Below are 18144 nucleotides of genomic sequence, written 5' to 3'. Positions count from 1 at the left end.
GGATGTATTGTTTGCTCTGGCAGCTTTCCAGATGGCTTCTGTTCTTTAGCTTTCTGCAGTTTGATTATGTTTCCAGGCAGGGATTAAAAAAAATAGTTTTTGGGTCAGGCGTGATGGCTCACGCCTGTAATCCCAGCACTTTGGGAGGCAGAGGTGGGTGGATCACCTGAGGTCAGGCATTCGAGACCAGCCTGGCCAACGTGGCAAAATCCCGTGTCTACTAAAAATACCATAAAAAATGTTTAGCCTGGTGTGGTGGTGTGTGCCTGTAATGCCAGCTACTTGGGAGGCTGAGGCAGGAGAATCGCTTGAACCTGGGAGGCAGAGGTTGCAATGAGCCGAGATCACGCCATTGCACTCCAACCTGGGTGACAGAGCGAGACTCTGTCTCAAAAGCAAACAAACAAACAAAAAAATAGCAACAACAGCAAAAACAAAAAACTTTTTGGGTTTCTGAATCTGTTTATGTCATTTGCCAATTCTTTTTGGGGGTGTGGCCATTATTTATTTAAAAATGGCATGTTATTTTCTTCTTTGTTTCTTAGTCTCCTGTGACGTGATTTTTAGAGGTTTCGTTGTCCCATAAGAGTGTTTTTTTTTTCTGTTTTATTTTCCCCTGTTGTTTCCATTGGATAATCTGTTAATCTATCTTCACATTTACTTGTTTAATTCCTTACTGATCCCAAAAACACATTGTATGATTTTTATTTTACAGTTGTTAGAGTTCCCCCACCACCCCCAACCCATGGTCTTGGAATGTGATTGGTGGTAAATATTGCATGTACACTTGGGTAGTATGATTATTCTGCTGCTTTTGGGTGGAATGTTCTCTGAGTATTAGTGAGATCTGGGTGGTCAATGGTAATTTTGTTTATCTTATATTCTTTCTGATTTTATGTCTACTTGTCCTCTCAGTTACTAAGATAATTCACCATGTGGTGAATTTTTCTTTTTTTCTTTCCTTTCTTTTTTTTTTTTTTTTTTTTTTTTGCTTAAGTTTTTCTGGTTCTTTTTTTATCTTCTTTTTCGCTGAGATTTTCCGTCTTTTCACTTGTTTCAAGTATGGTCAGTTCTTGGAATGCATTTAAAGTCTCTTTCTAATAAGACAGTCATCTTGAAGTTATTGTCTGTTACTTACTTTTTCCTCATGACTTGATATTTTCCTGGTTCTGTGTTGAGTTATTTTAGATCGTATTCTGGACATCTTGACTATAATATTGGGAGGCATTGGGATCTTGTTTGAATACTGAGGAAAATGTTGGTACTTTTTTTTTTTTTTTTTTTTTTAATGCAGAGTACCTTTTGCAGGCTGTGCTGCAGTTCCAGTTTCAAAGCATTTGTGGTGCTTCTTGGATCAGCCGCATGTGGGTGCCCGTCGGCATTCTTGCCTGGAGATCAGTTATCAAAGCCCGTGGTTTGCTCTTGAGGGTCTGATTCTGTCAAGCTCAGCTCCCTGGTGAGCTTAGGAGTTCATGCTTGACTTTGTCTGCTCTCTGAATCAATCTCCTTTCTGAAATCTTCCCAAATTACTGGGGGCTCTTATCCCTATGTGCCTGCTACAAAGGCAGGATATGAGCTTCCCCCTCTGTGTGTCTACATGGAGGACTGACTGTCCAGAGGCACAGAGAAGGAAATCAGAGTGATGCAAACTGGCCCCCTGGTTTTGGGACCTCAGCTCTTTGGGTCAGTGAGGTGGTTTGTATCAGGGAGGTGTGTGAGCCTGTCCCGCCAATACTGCTCTGATGTCATTATCTCCTGTGGTTTGCTTTGAGGCTGGGCTGGGAGAAAAGGGAAGAAAAAAGGGAAAAGACTCAGGGATTCTCCTACTTTCTGTGGCCCTTCATAGTACCTTTTCCCACTTGTTGGACCAGGAAGAGAGGCTGCCCTGGGAGCTCTGTCTGGCTATACACAGGGCACGCCTCTGGAGTCCACGCTGCCTTTCAGTTGAGGCCAGGTGGTACTGGAGAGAGATGCAGCTCACTGCCAGTTCAGAATAACTTCAGTTTCTGGCTCCTACTGTGATCCACCTTCTAACATTTATTTTTTGAGTCTTCATCTTCAGCTCAGTGCATTCTATGATTTATAGTTGCATTCAGTGGGAGAGACAGGGTAGATTGTGCTTACTCCATCTTTTCCAGAATTGGAACTCACCATTTTTTTTTTTTAAACACAAACCAATTCATGTCACTCATCTGCTTAAAACTCTCAAAATACCTTCCCATTTTGCTTGGAATGAAATATGAGTATTTCCCCATGACCTTTCCTCTGTTTTTACTCCTACACCACTCTCTGCTTGTTCTGTTCCTTGATCACACTGTGCCTTACGATTTTTGCTTTAACTGCTCATTCTCTCTGGAAAGCTGTCCTCCAAGACCATCACATGATTGCTTTCTTGTTGTTGGATTCCTAACTGAAACATCATTTCTTCAGGGAGGCCCTTGTTTACCATCAGATCTGAAGTCATTTTAAAACATCCGTGTTAATGTCAAGAGACTCACTTAATTTTTAAGAAATAGTTGTGTCATACATGTCTTATGCTCTGCCTCATATAGTAGCCCACTTTTAGACTAGCTATTGCCGTGGCAACCAAATTTATGCAGGTGTCACCTGACAGCACCTTACCATAGCCGTCGTGAGCATCTCTTGCTTTCTGGAATATTCTAACTGCCTTCTCTGAGGCTGTAGGTTTGGGTGGCTATGGGTAGTCTCTCTGCACAGTGCATGGATGAAGTGTGAGAGAACTGACCCCTCTGGGGGAAAGCTTGACTAGTGAGGGAAAGAGTTGGGAGAGCAATTATTTCCTCTTCTGTGCCTCAGGCGCACAGTGTGAAGCGCAATCCTCTCGGCTCCACAGAAGGACGATGATTGAGCCCCAGCTGCCCACAGGGCCGCCAGCTCAGCGACGCACAGCAACATGCCCTCTGGCATCACCTTCTCCTCTGCTGCCCCACTTTGCCTACTCTACATGCTTCCTGGCATCCCTTCCCTAAGCACTAGCTCTGTGCAAACCCTTTTCTCAGGCTCTGCTTTCTGGGGGGATCCCAGGCTAACACATTAGTCTAAATGACTTTAAAAGTAACTTTTTATAAGACATTTCAAGTATAAGAAACATAAATAAATGTCTAGGAGGTATCAATTTGTCTACCATACAGACTTGTCCATTTTTAATATTTCAGTATATTATATTTGCTTTTATGTTTTTAATTTAAAGAAATAAAAATATGCTGTTAAAGCTCTGTATATTCTTCCACACTGTGTCTCTTGCTCTCTTAGCATGAATGACTACTCTTAAATTTGATATTTATAGATAATATCGAGTATTTTAAAACATATTTTAAAATTTGATATACATATATATTGTATATCTTCTGCAACTTATTTACCCAGCAGTTTTAATATGAGATTTGTCTGTGGTGGGGCATATAGTTCTTTTAAATTCATTGTCACCTCTGCATAGGTTTCCATCATATAACTCTACCATTGTATGTCTGTATCTACTCTCCAGTTGATGTGCACTTAGTTAAAAGCAGTTCTTTACTTTTATAAATGATGTTGCATTGAACACTTTTGAATGTGCCCCTTTACCAAACTCTGAGTTGATCCAAGATAGGCAGCTACAAATGGAATTGTTCGGTCAAACTCTTTTTCTGTCTGAAGGAGTTGTACCAATTTGTATCCCTACCAGCAGTGACAGGAATTCCCGTATTTCCTGTTGATCTATAGCTTGACCAACTCTTGGTACTGGGACGCTTTAAAAATATTACCAATAGGTTGGGTGAGAAATAATACTCTTGGGGTTTATTTCCATTTCTCTAACTACTAGTTGGATTGAGCTTCTGTTCCTGTTTATTGGTCATTGGGTTTCCCCTACTTTAAATTATTGATTCTTGTCCTTTGCTTAATTTTCTATTGGGTCATTTTTTTCTTACTGATTTATAGGAGTTCTCTATAAATTCAGAATTCAAATCCTTAGTCAATTTAATATGTTGCAAATGCCTGTGAAAAGATATTTGCAACGCATTAAAAATGAAGCTTGTCTTTGCTTTGGTTTTTGATGTTTTTCATTGTACCAAAATTCTTAATTTTAATGCAGCCAAACATTTTATTCTTTTCCCTTATATTTTATATGTATTGTAACTCATTTGAGAAGTCTTTCTTTTTTCCAAGGTCATGAACTGTTCATCTATATTTTGTCTAAAGATTTTTAAATATTGTTTTTCTATATTTAGCTATTCATTCTGTTTGGAATTTATTTTTATATATGATGTGAGGTAGGGATCTAATTTTCTGTGTACCTGCATAGTCATTTTTCCCAGCACTATTCAGTGACTCTTGTCCTAATTAATCAATGCCACCAATACAATCATCTCTCCAGTTTCCTTATATTCATGGGTCTGCTTTGTAGCTATCTTTTCTTTCACTAATGTATTTCTCTGTCACTGCCCCAAGTGCCTCTGTCTTCATGATTACAGCCTTATAACAATTCCTGACATCTAGTAGGCCAGATTCCTTCCAAAAAACCTCCCACATCATTGTTTTAACAAAACCCTTTTGGGATTTTTCTTATTGAGTTGCATTGAGTTTATAGAAATTTGGAAAGAGATAATTTCTTTAAAAATATTAAGTCTTTCCATCTTTGAACATAACGTGGGTTGAGCATCCCAAAACTTGAAATGCTCCAAAATTCAAAACTTTTTGAGCACTGACGTGATGCTCAAAGGAAATGTTTATTGGAGTGTTTTGCATCTCCGAGTTTTGGATTTGGGATGCTCACTTGGTGAGTATAATGCAGGTATTCCAAAATCTAAAAACAAAATTTGAAACACATCTGGTCCAAGCATACTCAACCTGTACATCTCTACACTTATTTTTCTTCTTTAATATTGTTCCATGAATTTATAATTTTTTACATAAATATCGTGCATATATTTTGTTAGATTTATTTCTACCTGTGTTGTGGACTGTGTTGCTATTATAAATGTATTTTCTCAAAAAGTTTGTCTTGTAATTGTTTTTAGTTGATGTGTATGACTGGGATTGATTGTATGTCTTAATCTTTTATTCAACAATCTTTTTCAGCTTTTTTTTATAAGTTTATAAAAAATGACAGCAAATTTTATTTTTTAAAACAACCCCATTGGTCCTGCCCTTTTCCCTCACAGGAGTATAATAGCCATGAATGTAGGGATCTTGTGTTTCTCATTCAGTTCCTCAGGAGGTATTTTTTGGATGAAATACTTAATAAAATCTCCAATTTGGGGCTGAATAAACAGTGCCCACTCACTGTATCAGAGTGGTTTTATTAATACGTAACTGCTCTCTTTGCTGAAAAAGGGCTTATTTTTTTCACCTGGCAGCCTGGTCTCCCACACTCAACCTGACTACAGATTCCCAAAATAGCTGGGCTCCTCCATGCTGCCAGGACTTTGTTCCCTTGTGTCTTCTAAGCCAGGCAAACGTGTCTGTCCCCTTCAGAGACTCGCCTTGGTCTCAGCTCTTCCAGGAAGCTTTCTTGGATTTCCCCATACTTCAGACAGATGTGTCCAGAAAAAAAAAAAAACAAACCCAAAAAGCAAACAAGAATTAAGGTAAACCATATGCTCAGAGCATCAGCCTTAAAACCAAGCATCCAAAGCCATATGGAAAGGTACACAGAATAAATGACATTATGATGGCACAAACCACTGCTGCAGTCTGGGAAAGGAAACTTATTCACAGATAGGAAGCCAAGCTCCACCAATACATCATCATGTCAACAATTAGAAAGAATAGAAACACTAGATCAGACGCCCCCACACTCAGACAGTGAGTCAGAAAAAAGAAGAGCAAGAGGACAGAAATGCATTGTGTATTGATGCTGCTCATTCCTGTGCCATTTCGTAAGCACCGTATTCTGTGAGTGAAAACAAAATATATTTGAACCTTTTATTCCAGGCTTTTAAAAAATCACTTCAATTTTCCTCCTCTGATAAATGTTTTACGAGTTCCCTTTTCTGATGAAAGATTTTGCTGTGATTAAAGATTTCATGAAGTTATGACAACAGAGGAATAGATCTTCATTCTCGGAAGCTCATTTTTCTGTGAGCTGAGTGAAGAGGCCTCTTGTAGGCAGCTGTCAGAGCTAATGAATGTTTTCCAAGCGCCAAACCTCTGGGGAAGGCAGCCCCACCCAGAAAACCCAGACTCAACTGATGGGAGCTGTCATCTCAAGGTGTGCGGCACCCTGTTGACGCTGTGCTACATGATATAAATGGTGACATGTGGCCGGGTGCCGTGGCTCACCCCTGTAATCCCAACACTTTGGGAGGCCTAGGCGGGCAGATCACCTGAGGTCAGGAGTTTGAGACCAGCCTGGCCATCATGGTGAAACCCTGTCTCTACTAAAAATACAAAAATTACCTGGGCATGGTGGCGGGCACCTGTAATCCCAGCTACTCAGGAGGCTGAGGCAGGAGAATCTCTTGAACCCAGGAGGTGGAGGTTGCAGTGAGCCGAGATTGTGCCACTGCACTCCAGCCTGGACGACAAGAGTGAGACTCTGTCAAAAAAAAAAAGAAAAAGAAATGGTGACATGTTCCTGCTTTCTGCCTGAGAGCAGGTCACACGCCCACGTTCTGAAAAATTGATATTTCACAGATGCCCCGTGGCCTTTTGACAAAGTCCTACTTGTGTGTGCATGTGTATGAGAGTGTATATGTGTGTGTGTGAACTTCTGGGCCTGTCACTCTACCCCCTGTACCTCAGTTCTGCTCTCTGGAAATTGCCGCGGACATGTGTGGCTTTGGAATGAATAGAGGTCCACATCTATTGGGAAAAGCCGAGGGTTTCGAGCTCTGCATCCAGGGCCTCGGGCATCACAGCAGCATGGCTGTCCTCTCCTGAGCCTCCGTCTCCAGTGCAGGGGGCTCCACGGACTACCCCCGAGGCTGTTGTCATGAAGTCACAGGCGATTGTCCCTTTCCTTTGACCAGACTTTCCTTTAACAGCCAGCAAAGCCTTGCCTCCCACTTGGAGAAATACATTTGAGAATTCAAATGCCCTTTGGAAGGCCATGTTTTGAAGTCACACTAGGCTGATAATAATGACCCAGAGCACAGATCTTTTTCTCTGTGTTTTCTCCCCCCATGAAAACTGTTTACCCTGCTCTTCCAAGAAGAATGGCCTCTGCTCAGTTGCTGTCATCTGTGTCTGTCCTGTCGTGGGTGCAGCCATCCACTGAGCTCAGCAGACATTTATCGATGACCTGTTACGTGCTGACTGTGATACTTGGTGTCTGAGATACCGTATGAGTTTTCGGCAAGCATTCAACTGTGACGTTAACCTATCAGATGGTGACGGACACGGACGGCGCGTTTGGGGCTGGACTTTTCCACTTTGTACATGGAGCTCACACGGCTAGAGAGAGGCCGGCAGTGCAGGGCTGCCACGGCCACCCAAAGAAGTGACGGCTCTCAAGCGCCTCCGACCCTGCTCTGTCATCCACAGCCTGTGGTTTTTGTCCCTGATGGTTACTGAGCTTCTGAGCATCCTGTTTGCTTCCAGGGAGAAAGGAAGGGGAATGAGGAAGGCGGAAGGCTAAAAGCCTTCTCCCAGGACATCGCGTTTGTATTTGGGAAGGAAAGTCTCTAGGGGACTGTGCCTTACTGGCTAGAACTTCATCACATGGACCAGCCCTTGCAAGGAACAATGGGAACTTGAGCATTTTACTTGTCACCTCTGGAGGAGAGGAAACAAAAGAGTAGAGGCTTCGGAGGGTGATGAGTAGACCCCGCAGTGTCTGCCCCAGTTCGAGAGGTGCCCGCATGGGAGAAGCTCGTGCTGGATGTGCACACACACACACAAGCAGGACATGCGTCACCACGCTTCAGGGCCCAGCGTGGAACCTGGTAGCTGAAGATGCTGGCTTGGACACAGCATCCTTGAATGGCACTGTATGCCTGTGTTTCTCTGCAGATGATCAGACTTTAGAGTCAGGTGTTCCAGTCGTCAGTGTATATTGAGGTTTGGAGAATTCGGGTTACCTTCCCAAGGCCACTTGGTTGGTAAAAGGCATGGCTGAGCTGTGAACACATGTCCCCAGGACCCCGGGCCCAAGGAGGACCTGATGAGGACCTGATGCCTACACCCACTCCTTAGAGTTCACACTCGTGTTCAGAACCAGTCTCCGTAATCCTCTGAGCCCAGGAGCACTTGGCATTTCGATATACTTTGCCCTTCTTAAGTGGTGGGAAGTCTTTGGAGAGGAGAAAAAGGGAAAGTCATTCCTCTTTGGCTGTCAGAGGATTCTGAACTTTCTTTTTTCTTTAACGCAGTACCCGGCAGTGTCACCTGCTCCTGGATGTCTTCAACTCCACCGAGCATGAGCTGACCGTCAGCACCAGGAGCAGCGAGGCACTCATCCTGCACGCCGGTGAGTGCCAGCGGTAAGTGTCCCATAGACCCTCGCGCCGCCGCAGGCCACCCTCTGCCTTCACCACGCTGCTTGGGAGGGTGTGGAGATAATCCACCCCAAGTCCTCAGAGGATGGGCAGTTTGTCTCCCTTTCAGAGATACCGTAGTGACTATTCAAGTTTGGTGGGAGAATCTGGAGTCGTTTTAAATTAGAGCTAAGTGCAAAGTAGGTAAAGCCGGATGGCGTCTGAGGAAGTAGCAACATGTGCTTTCAGAGCCCACATTTGAGGACCCAGCAGCATCCGGGCATCTTTGCTGTTAAATTCTTGAGAAAGTGGTATCTGGGCTGGGTGTGGTGGCTCACGCCTGTAATCCTAACACTTTGGGGAGGCCAAGGCAGGCAGACCACCTGAGATCAGGAGTTCAAGACCAGCCTGGCCAACATGGTGAAACCCCGTCTCTACTAAAAATACAAAAACTACCCGGGCATGGTGGTGCATGCCTGTTATCCCAGCTACTCGGGAGGCTGAGGCAGGAGAATCGCTTGAACCCGGGAAGCAGAGGGTGCAGTGAGCCGAGATCGATCGTACCACCGTACTCCAGCCTGGGCGACAGAGCGAGACTCCGCCTCAAAAAAAAAAAAAAAAAAAAAGAGGTGGTATCTGGAAATATTTGGCATCAGTCTGGGAACTGCATGTCAGCATCAAGAGGAATTAATGCTACAGAAAGACAGGCAAGGCTCAGGCCTTCGGGAGGGGAGCACAGTCACCCAAGCCCAGTCTCTGTAGGGCAAAGAGAGGCCGCACTACCAATTGCTGGCCAGGGTCAGCCTCAGGAGACCCCTGGCCCGGCAGAGGTGAGTGAGGAGCTGATGCGGAAGTGAGAGCTGGTCAGGAGCGAGGCCAGGGCTTGCCCGGAGGCAGGTGGAGCTCAGTGACTCCGGGGTGATGCTGTCCTTCCATGGCGGAGCCCCTCAGTGGCCCCTGACCCACTCTCCACTCACCCTCCCTCCATACTAAGAGGCTGTGCTTCCAAGCCCAGCCCGGTTCTAGGGACACACACTTACACATGGAATTCTAGAGGGAATAATATTTTTATTTTTAATTGCTGAAGACTTCAAACATACAGAAAATCACTTAGAAACTGGCATACCCACATCCTAGATTTTGTTTTATTTGCCCCAGATCTTTCTCTCTCTCTCTCTCTCTCTCTGCCTCTTTCATTTGTTTTAAGGAAATAAAATGTTTTTTAAAATAGCAACATTAACATTATCAATCAGTGGTGGAATGTAAGTCCAAACCGCGATGAGACAGCATGAGACACTCATCAGGATGGTTAAAGACAGCACCAAATGTTGGTGAGGGTGTGGAGCAACAGGAACTCTCATGCCTTGTGGGTGGGGATATAAAATAGTGCAGCTGCTTTGGAAAAAGGTCTGGGGCTATCCTGTAAAATTAAACATACACTTACCCTTTGCCCAGCTATTTCAACCCTAGTTATTTATTTAAGGATAATATGAAACATATGGTCACAAGAAGACCTATACAACGTTCTAGCCAGAAAATAGAGGCCAGGTGTCCATTACAGGAGAACGGACAAACAAATGGCGGTGTTTTCTTACAAACGGAATGGTGTGGTACTCTGCAACAAAAACGAATGAATTACTCATACACAGAACAGCACTTGCAACTCTCAGGAACAGGATGCTGGGTGAAAGGAGCCTTACCCAAAGTGCATATGCCATGTGGTTCCATTGATACGAAATGCTGTAGGTTGCTGCAAAAGTAATTGCGGCTTTTGCCATTACTTTTACACCAACCTATAGAACAAGCAGAACCAATTTACGATGGAAAAACTCAGAACATTGGTTCCTTCTGGAGAGATTGGAACAGGGTTTGATCAGGAAAGGGCATAAGGTAATTTTCTAGGTGATGGTCATGTTGTATACATCAGTAGGGTTTTGGGTTACACACATGTATCTATTCGTCAAAACTCGGCAACTAATCACTTGAGATTTGTACATTTCATGATGTATCAGCTTTATAGCAGAAGGAAAAACTAAGCCAGTGTTGAGCTCTGTTAATGATATGCACACTGGAGGGTTTGGGGTCGGGGCATGATAGCTACAATAGTCTTTGAGTTCTATAAAATATCTGACAGATTAATAGATGGGCAGATGAACACATTAGGTGGTAATGCAAATATAGTATAATGTTAACAGTAGCGTCTCTTAATGGGCATATGGGGGGTGTTCAGTGTAAATCTTTTTCACCTTATATTTGAAATTTTTTAGAAGAAATTGTTGGCAAAAATAAAAGTAAAAATAGCTAAGCTCTTCTTTTCTGCCCACCTCATCCCATCTTCTTTTCTCTTTCCTTCCTCTTTAAGGTAATTTCTTTCTTAGAGGTGATGGTATCATTCCACATCCATGTTTTACTACTTTATTGTATAGACATATATCCCCACCCAAACATTATTTTGACAGTTTTTTTGTTTTTTGGTTTTTTGTTTTTTTGATACAGAATCTCGCTCTGTCACCCAGGCTGGAGTGCAGTGGCACAGTCCTGGCTCACTGCAACCTCCACCTCCTGGGTTCAAGCGTTTCTCCTGCCTCAGCCTCCTGAGTAGCCAGGATTACAGACACCTGCCACCACGCCCGGCTAATTTTTGTATTTTTAGTAGAGATGGGATTTCACCATGTTGGTCAGGCTGGTCTTGGACTCCTGACCTTGTGATCCGCCCGCCTCGGCCTCCCAAAGTGCTGGAATTACAGGCAAGAGCCACTAGGCCTGGCCGAGAGTCTTTTTTTCAATGGCATAAGTGGTTCCATATCATATATGTCCTTTTAAAACTTTAAAAATCAGCGTTATTCTTTGGAGCTAAATATAAATCTGGTTCTTTCATTTGAACTGCTATTAATATTTCATTGTGTAAATATGCCACTTTATTCATTTCCATGCTAATGCACTCACTGTGAGGTGGCTTCCAGGGTATTCATATTTAATGTGATTATTGTTAATGACACGCATGAATGTCAAGCCAGGCCCTGCAGCCTTGTAGCAGGTCCTGTTTGGGCTGCTGGAAGCTAGAGATTCAATGGCTTGGGGGACATTTATGGCCTGCCTTTGAGAGGTGCCAGAAAATCCTCCTTCCCAAGATCCCTTGGAAAGGACTTGTCACTTGGGTGTGGGTATGCGCGTGGGGCTGGTGTATGCTTCTGTGTGTATGAGCCGTGAGGGCTGTGGCTGGATGCTGCGGCACCTCAGGTTCCTCAGGATGAGGACAGGTGCCTTCAGGGAGCATCGATGCATCCTCTGGGGTCTACGCCTTTGGCAGTGCTGGGTCCAGTGCTGCTGCATAGGGAACTGTCAGCCCTCGGACTGCTCTTTCTTATCTAAATAACTTGATGTAGTCCAAGATCCCAGAGAACATAAATCTGGTCGTCTTATGACACTAGTATAAAACACTTTAAAGAAATTATAAATTGCTAAGCTTGTCCTGTATAGTAAGCTTGACTCATTCTTGGCAATGTGAGGCTGATGACATTAACAATCCCAGCTGCAAATAATCACAATTTAGTCTTGTGCTTCAGGCTTTTTTGTTATTAAGTTTTTGCTTAAATTCTCATTTCTGAATGCTTCTAACTCGAATATTCTTTTATTTATTCATAAAATATTCATTCAATAAATATTGATACTTCAGCAATTTGCTGTGTGGTAAGCCCCGTGTCAGGCTTCAGGCGTGCTGAGAAGAATAAATAAGGGCCCCTCCTCGCTGGGGATTGGCAACACATTGGGACAAGTGTCTAACCCAGCCAGAGCGGCTGCCCTTTTCTGCCTGACAAGGGCATCTTGCTGTCCCGGGCCGGGTGGGAGCGTTGGGTGAACTAGAGGTCATGAGGTTACGTCCATCTGGGAAGTCATCTTAGGCGCTTCCCCTGCTGTGCCCACTGCTGGGGATACCCATGAATCCATGCAACTCTGCCCTGAGCCCTAGAATGCATGATTCCCCTCCCCTCCCTTTCCCAAACCTCTCTCAGTGCCTCACCGGCCTCCTGTGGGTCAGATGCACACTCGGCCTCCGTGGAGGGGTTGTGCAGAGCAGTGCAGGTGGAGGAAGTGGAAATGGCTCTACCTTACTTCGCAACGCCGGACAGCACCTTACAGACCTCAGACCTGGTCCCTGTCCTTCCAGGCTTTGTGTCTTGAGTATCCAGTTCCTTCCCAGAGTCCTGAGCCGAACCTCTCTCCTGGCTCTCCCGTTCCCCTACGAGGAGGCACCCCTGCCACCACCCCCCGGCCCCCCACCCCCAGGCTGTGCTAAACCTAAAGAAGCTTCTTTTGCCTGCGATCTGCCCTCTGGAGTGGGGAGGGCATGGGCTCTGCCTGGAGGTGTGGGCAGTAGTGGGGCTGAGACTCCAGCTTCATCGCTACCAGCAGGAGCGGAAGGTGGTGCTCTCACTGCTACCTGGGAGGGAGGCAGGTGCACAGAACTTTTCTCTGCAGATAGCACAGCCTACTCTTAAAGGAAGAGCCAGATTCCTGGAATTAACATGGCTTGGATGCTGCCGTTTGCAGAACTGGCATTCAAAGGTGGCCTGCAATCTGAGAGACCAACCCCAGTTAGATAATTGTGGTGCCTGCCGCCTCTCCTCCCTCCTAGTAGGAAGGGGTGATCTCATCTCACCCAGTGCAAGAGCTATGGATAGAAATGTGTCCCCAACAGCACGAGGAGGAGCAACATGCTTCCTGGGGGAAGAGAGGATGGAAATAGTATTTACTGAGCACTTCCCATATGAAGTCACATTCAGTCCTCATAATATTCTCATGTGGGAACAGTGTCCTCATTTTATAGATAAGCAAAATGAGTGGCTGATCAAAGCCACTTTGTGGAACCCCGTCTGTCTGACATCCAGGCTCTGCCCTGCTGCTCCACACACCAAGGGGAGACGATGCTGGAGCCAAGCTTGGGATGGTGTGAGAGAGGCCGGGGCGGGGGCAAAATTCTGTTTATTTCCCACTTTCTGCTCTGTGCAGCCTTTGGTAAGTTGGGTTCAAGATCGTAAAGTCCAGCTTCACCCAGCAGAAGAAAGGGTGAGATGGAGAAGCAAACTGGGCCTTTGATATCCAGGGTGTTCATTTGTTAATTCACCAAGTATTTCCTGTGTATCTCCGAGGTGCCAGGCCCTGCTGGGAGTGAAGCTGCTGAGTACGTGTGGTGTTGCCTGTGTTTTCACTACACTTATATTTAGGTGTGGAAGAAAAGCACACAAACAGGCAATTGTTATACAGTGTGAGGAGAATGCAGAGCACATAGGAGGGGGGCCTAGGACTGGGGGGCCAAGGAAGGTGGCTAGGAGGGCTTCCTGGAGAGGTGATGAGAATATGGAAATGCTGAGTTGCTGCAACAAAATACCATAGACTGGGTGGCTTATAAACAACCGAAAATTATTTCTCATGGTTCTGGAGACTGCAGGTTCAAGATCAAGACGCTGGGCAGATTCTGGAGGCTGCAGGTTCAAGATCAAGACGCTGGGCAGATTCTGTGGGTGGTGAGGGCCCATTTCCTGCTTCGTAGTTGGAGGCTTCTCACTGTGTCCTCACATGGTGGGAGGGGCAAAGGGTTTTTCTCAAGCTTCATTTAAAAGAACACTGATCCTAGTCATGTGGATTCCATCTTCATGAGCTGATCACCTCCCTGAAGCCCTGCCCTTTAATATAATCACCATGGAGGGTAGGATTTCAGCATGTAGATTTTGTGGGGCATAAACATTCATTTACAGCACGACGTGACGAGTGAGCAGGAGGTGGCCAGGGCCAGTGTGCCAGGGAGAGCCGTGCAGGCAGGGGGAGCAGCATGGTGGAGGGGAGTGTGGTGGGGTGGTAAGTGTGAAAGAGGTGTTCATAGACTGTGAATATTAGAGTTTTTAGAAATTAGCAATGCCACTCTTATCATATTTCTTAGCGAGATCTTGTTAGTCTCATACTTTACAATGGAATACTGAAGCGATTGGATGTAGAAAGTACTTTTTCACCTTCCTAATCTCTCCTTTAAAAGGTCCTTTGGAAATTAGTGACTCATTCCTCAGCTTGTGAGTTTCTGTGGCATGTGTGATACATCAGTTCTGTAATTAAGGACCATTAGTTAACTTTGCTTTTGCCAGATGTGATTTGTGATGCTTGGTGCCTGGTGAGTCTGTTTCCTGGGCCCCAGGCCATTGGTCATGACATTCGGAACCCTGTTTCCAGTCGAGCAGCTGGAGATCTGTATTAACTTGTATTTCTACCCCGGGGCAGTGTTGGGAAAGACACCACTTTCATAGGGAGTTCTACAGGGAGTGGGCTTTGCACTCATTTTTCCCTATGAGTAAAAGAGGTCGAGACCCACCAGGGGCATGCAGTCAGTTGGAGCTGGAACTGGGCTGCTGAGCACCAGCCACCTGTTCTCCACCGCCCGCCTTTCTGTGGGAGTTGCCCATGGTTCCCTAGGCTGCGTTCCCAGAATCGGCCTTCCCTCCTCGTCCATTTTCCATGCACAACCGGAAACAGTGGATGTCTCTCCTTAGTGAAACCGCATGAACTTTCTTAGGAAAATACAGTGTTGGCAGCAGCAGCAGCAAATTTACTGGAAAATTAAGATACGACAATTGTGGGTTTTTTTGCCTAATTATCAAACCATTGAAATTAAATTTCATGACAACCCTCATGTATGCATAAACCTCTTTATAATGTATGATAATAGATGTTATCTCATTACATGCTTTAAGATGCCCGGCTCTGTCCCCCTCGCTTGCTGCAGGGACACCGCATTTAGAGGGTGCAGCGGACCTGGCACCGAAGCACCCAAACGCTGCGGCTGCTGGGGAGATGGACCGCCGGCAGGATCTGAGCGGCCAGCTCTGGCTGTGTCTTGATAGAGCATCCACGTGGATCATGGCATGGCTCTGCTGCGAGAGGGGCAGGGAAGAGCCCCACAGGCAATGGCCAACCTGGGGGCTCCACAACTTCTCCTCGAGGATGCTTTGAGAAAGTGGTTTCTGGGCAACCCCATCTCCTGGGGGTTATGTGGGTGCTGCACTTTCCTGTTTATCCCAGGTCAGAGCAGCCCCCAACTCAACTATCTGGCTACTCCTCTCGCCTGTCTCTTTTTGTTTCTGGTTTAATTCCTTCAAACATTCCAAAGAACCTTGTGAATCATCAAAGTGATGCTTAACCGTGTGGCGCCCAGTCTTCTTGCAGGTTGTTATTGAGGCTTATTTATACTGTGTTGGCATTGCTCATCCCTCTGTGTTCCTTCTGCAGTATGAGTTACAGATGAGTTTTTGCGTGGATTTTCTTTGTACCTCGTTTTTCAATCTGAAAGGAAATGAGGAGAGTCCCTCAGAAACATAATTTCTAGAAACAAGGGGAAAGCATCCTGATGTGCCCTCATCCCTTCAGCTGATGCGGGGAGATGGAGACCCGAGGTCAGTTAGTGAGCCCGTGGCAGAGGCCTGATAGAGCCTGGGCTCTGGACTCCCTGGCCAGAGCTGTCTCTGCAACCCCCACTGGCCCCACTAATGAGCAGTTTTTACAGTTTTCCTGATACAAACCCAGATGGCTCTGGGATCAATAGGGACCTCCCAGTGATTAATAGGCAGAGGGAAGGAACGTTTGCGTTCAGCCTGGAGAAGCAATTGGATTCGAGAAATTCAATGCTGGGGAAGATGCAGTGGTTTGCTGACTCAGGTGACAAGAGAAATTCTTCTCTTTCTGTGAGAAAAGAAAAATAGGATGACTTGATTGGCTTTCCACACACCACGCGCCTCTTTGTTCCTCAGAAACCTTCGACAGGAGGTTTTCCTTCTGGGTCTTTGCCTCTGTTGTCCGTGGGTGGCTTCTGCGGTGGGGAAATGTCTGGAGCCTTTCCTAGCGCGTGGAAGGTGGGGGGCGTGTGGCTCCTCCCACGCCCACCCTGTCTGCAGACCTGTCCCCAGCTGTCCACTTGCTGGGCTGAGATGAACACGCACGGGCTGGAGCCACGCGGAGCCCTCTGCAGCCTCAACTCCGCCCCGAGCTGGCTTCGCGTGCCTGGGCAGGGCCTCACCGTGCGCCGAGTGCTCTTCATAAAGTAGGAATCGAATCCATGCCCGGCAGGTTGATCTAAAGAGCAGCGTTAGAGGCCATGCCCGATGCATGGCCAGTGGCCAGCCGTTGGTGATGGTGCTGTTACCTCCTGGTGCCCCTTTGTTACAGTGATAATTTCAAAGCTGTCCCCCTCCAGATCGCACGGCTGGAGCACGTCATGGCTCGTGTGCAGGGCAGGCATTCCGGGACTTTTGTTTCCTTCTTGTGGAGGTGACCGGACCCAATTTCTGCTCAAGTAGTTGGTTGTTATTTGGGGCCCCATTTGCCTGGATTCTCAGTGGCATTGAGAGTGGAGGCAGAGAAAGTTCTCCTGGCATTGGTCAGGAGTGAGGAGCCACCCGCTTAGTGAACAGAGAAGATTCGCTATGGAGAACTGTGTCCGAGGTGTAACATTGGTAGCTGGGCCCGTTTAGGCAGAGGACAACACTGAGGTGTGCCAGTTATGGGGCGGCTGCAGGGAGGGGTGTGGTCCCTCGGGGTTGGCATCTTGTTAGAGAAGTCTGGGGGGGCATGGAGCTGCCACAGCCATTTGAGAAGGGGACACCTGGGGTCTTGGAAGTGAGGTGCGATGTCACTGGGGGGTACCTGCAGGAATCGTAGACAGAAAACTCTCGAGGGGCAAGGGGAGGCCCAGGGAGAGCAGATCGCTTCTTCCCTCTGTGGTCCGAAGGCCTCCCGCCAGCACCCATGGGCAGAGCGGGAATGTGGTCTGTGGAGTCTCAGCCCCACACCCCAGCTGGCAGAGAGGAGTCAGGGCGTCACTTGCCCATCGGCCACGGCTCTTCTTTCCCTCAAGCCCCGCTTTAGGCCAGCTCTGTCCTGGGTCCCCCTGGCAGTGCTGTGAGGGGCACTGTCCTGTCCTCGACGCTGTGGGTCTCTTGGTTCCCCAGCCTTGCTGTGAGGGGCGCTGTCCTGTCCTCCTCGACACTGTGGGTCTCTTGGATGGGGTTTGTTGTTTTCCACCTCAGATTCTCCCTCTTGCTGTACTAGAGGTTCGTAGACTTTGCTGTGTGTTGTCATCACCCGGGGGTCTTTACTAAAGAGGGGTGCCTGTCCCCTCCTCTCACCCGCCAGCATCCTGACTGGACTGGCTGGACGCAGCCTGGGCATTGGCATATTTAATCTCCTCTGGTGCCGACCGTGCACCCGAGTGCAGGAGCCATGACGCCAGGCTGCAGCTGTCTGCGAGCAGCACCCGTGTCCGTTCGTGTCCGCCCTTCCCACCACCTTGGTCCTCCATCTGGCCTGTGCTGGGCTAGAGACGTTTGGCTTGCGAGTGGGCGGGTGAGTGGGAAGCTCCGTGGCAGCGTCTGGCCAGAGCCCAGGACCCCTCCTTCCTGGGGCAGGTGGTCCCACCGGAGCCTTCACTCCCAGGCTCTCACCACCTACACGGTTCTTAAGCCAAGCCTGGCCCAGCAGGAGATTTTTCAGAGGGACAGGGTGGTGGTCAACCTTCAGGTCACCAGGAAGAGACACCAAGTCCTGACACCAGTGGTTAATTCTCTTGTGGTGCTTGCATTCCTGTCAGACCTGACCCTCACGGCTCCGCACCTGGCCTGCTGTCAACCACGGCGCCCCAGTTGGTCTGCGGGCAAGAACTCTTCACTCCCCTCCTGGGGATGGGAGC

The 18144-nt window shown here is 46.8% G+C and overlaps 1 protein-coding gene across 15 annotated transcripts in view; it reads left to right on the top strand.

Moving 5' to 3' along the window:
* TRAPPC9 (trafficking protein particle complex subunit 9) overlaps positions 1 to 18144 on the top strand; it is a 730855-nt gene that overhangs the window by 461431 nt on the left and 251280 nt on the right. For 14 of the 15 annotated variants that reach the window (NR_164662.1, XM_011517326.3, NM_031466.8 and 11 more), the window contains one exon: positions 8313 to 8423. The exons of the other annotated variant lie outside the window; for it this stretch is intronic. Coding sequence is in view for 13 of the 14 variants with exons in the window: in XM_011517326.3 (XP_011515628.1) it covers positions 8313 to 8423 (111 nt within the window). In the remaining variant the exon portion in view is untranslated. The remainder of the gene's footprint in view (positions 1 to 8312; positions 8424 to 18144) is intronic. 15 annotated transcript variants of the gene reach the window in all.

This window comes from Homo sapiens, chromosome 8 (assembly GCF_000001405.40).
Source record: "Homo sapiens chromosome 8, GRCh38.p14 Primary Assembly".
NCBI lineage: Eukaryota > Metazoa > Chordata > Mammalia > Primates > Hominidae > Homo > Homo sapiens.
Note: the sequence above shows the minus strand (reverse complement) of the source record. Positions and strands in the feature narration are given on the sequence as shown.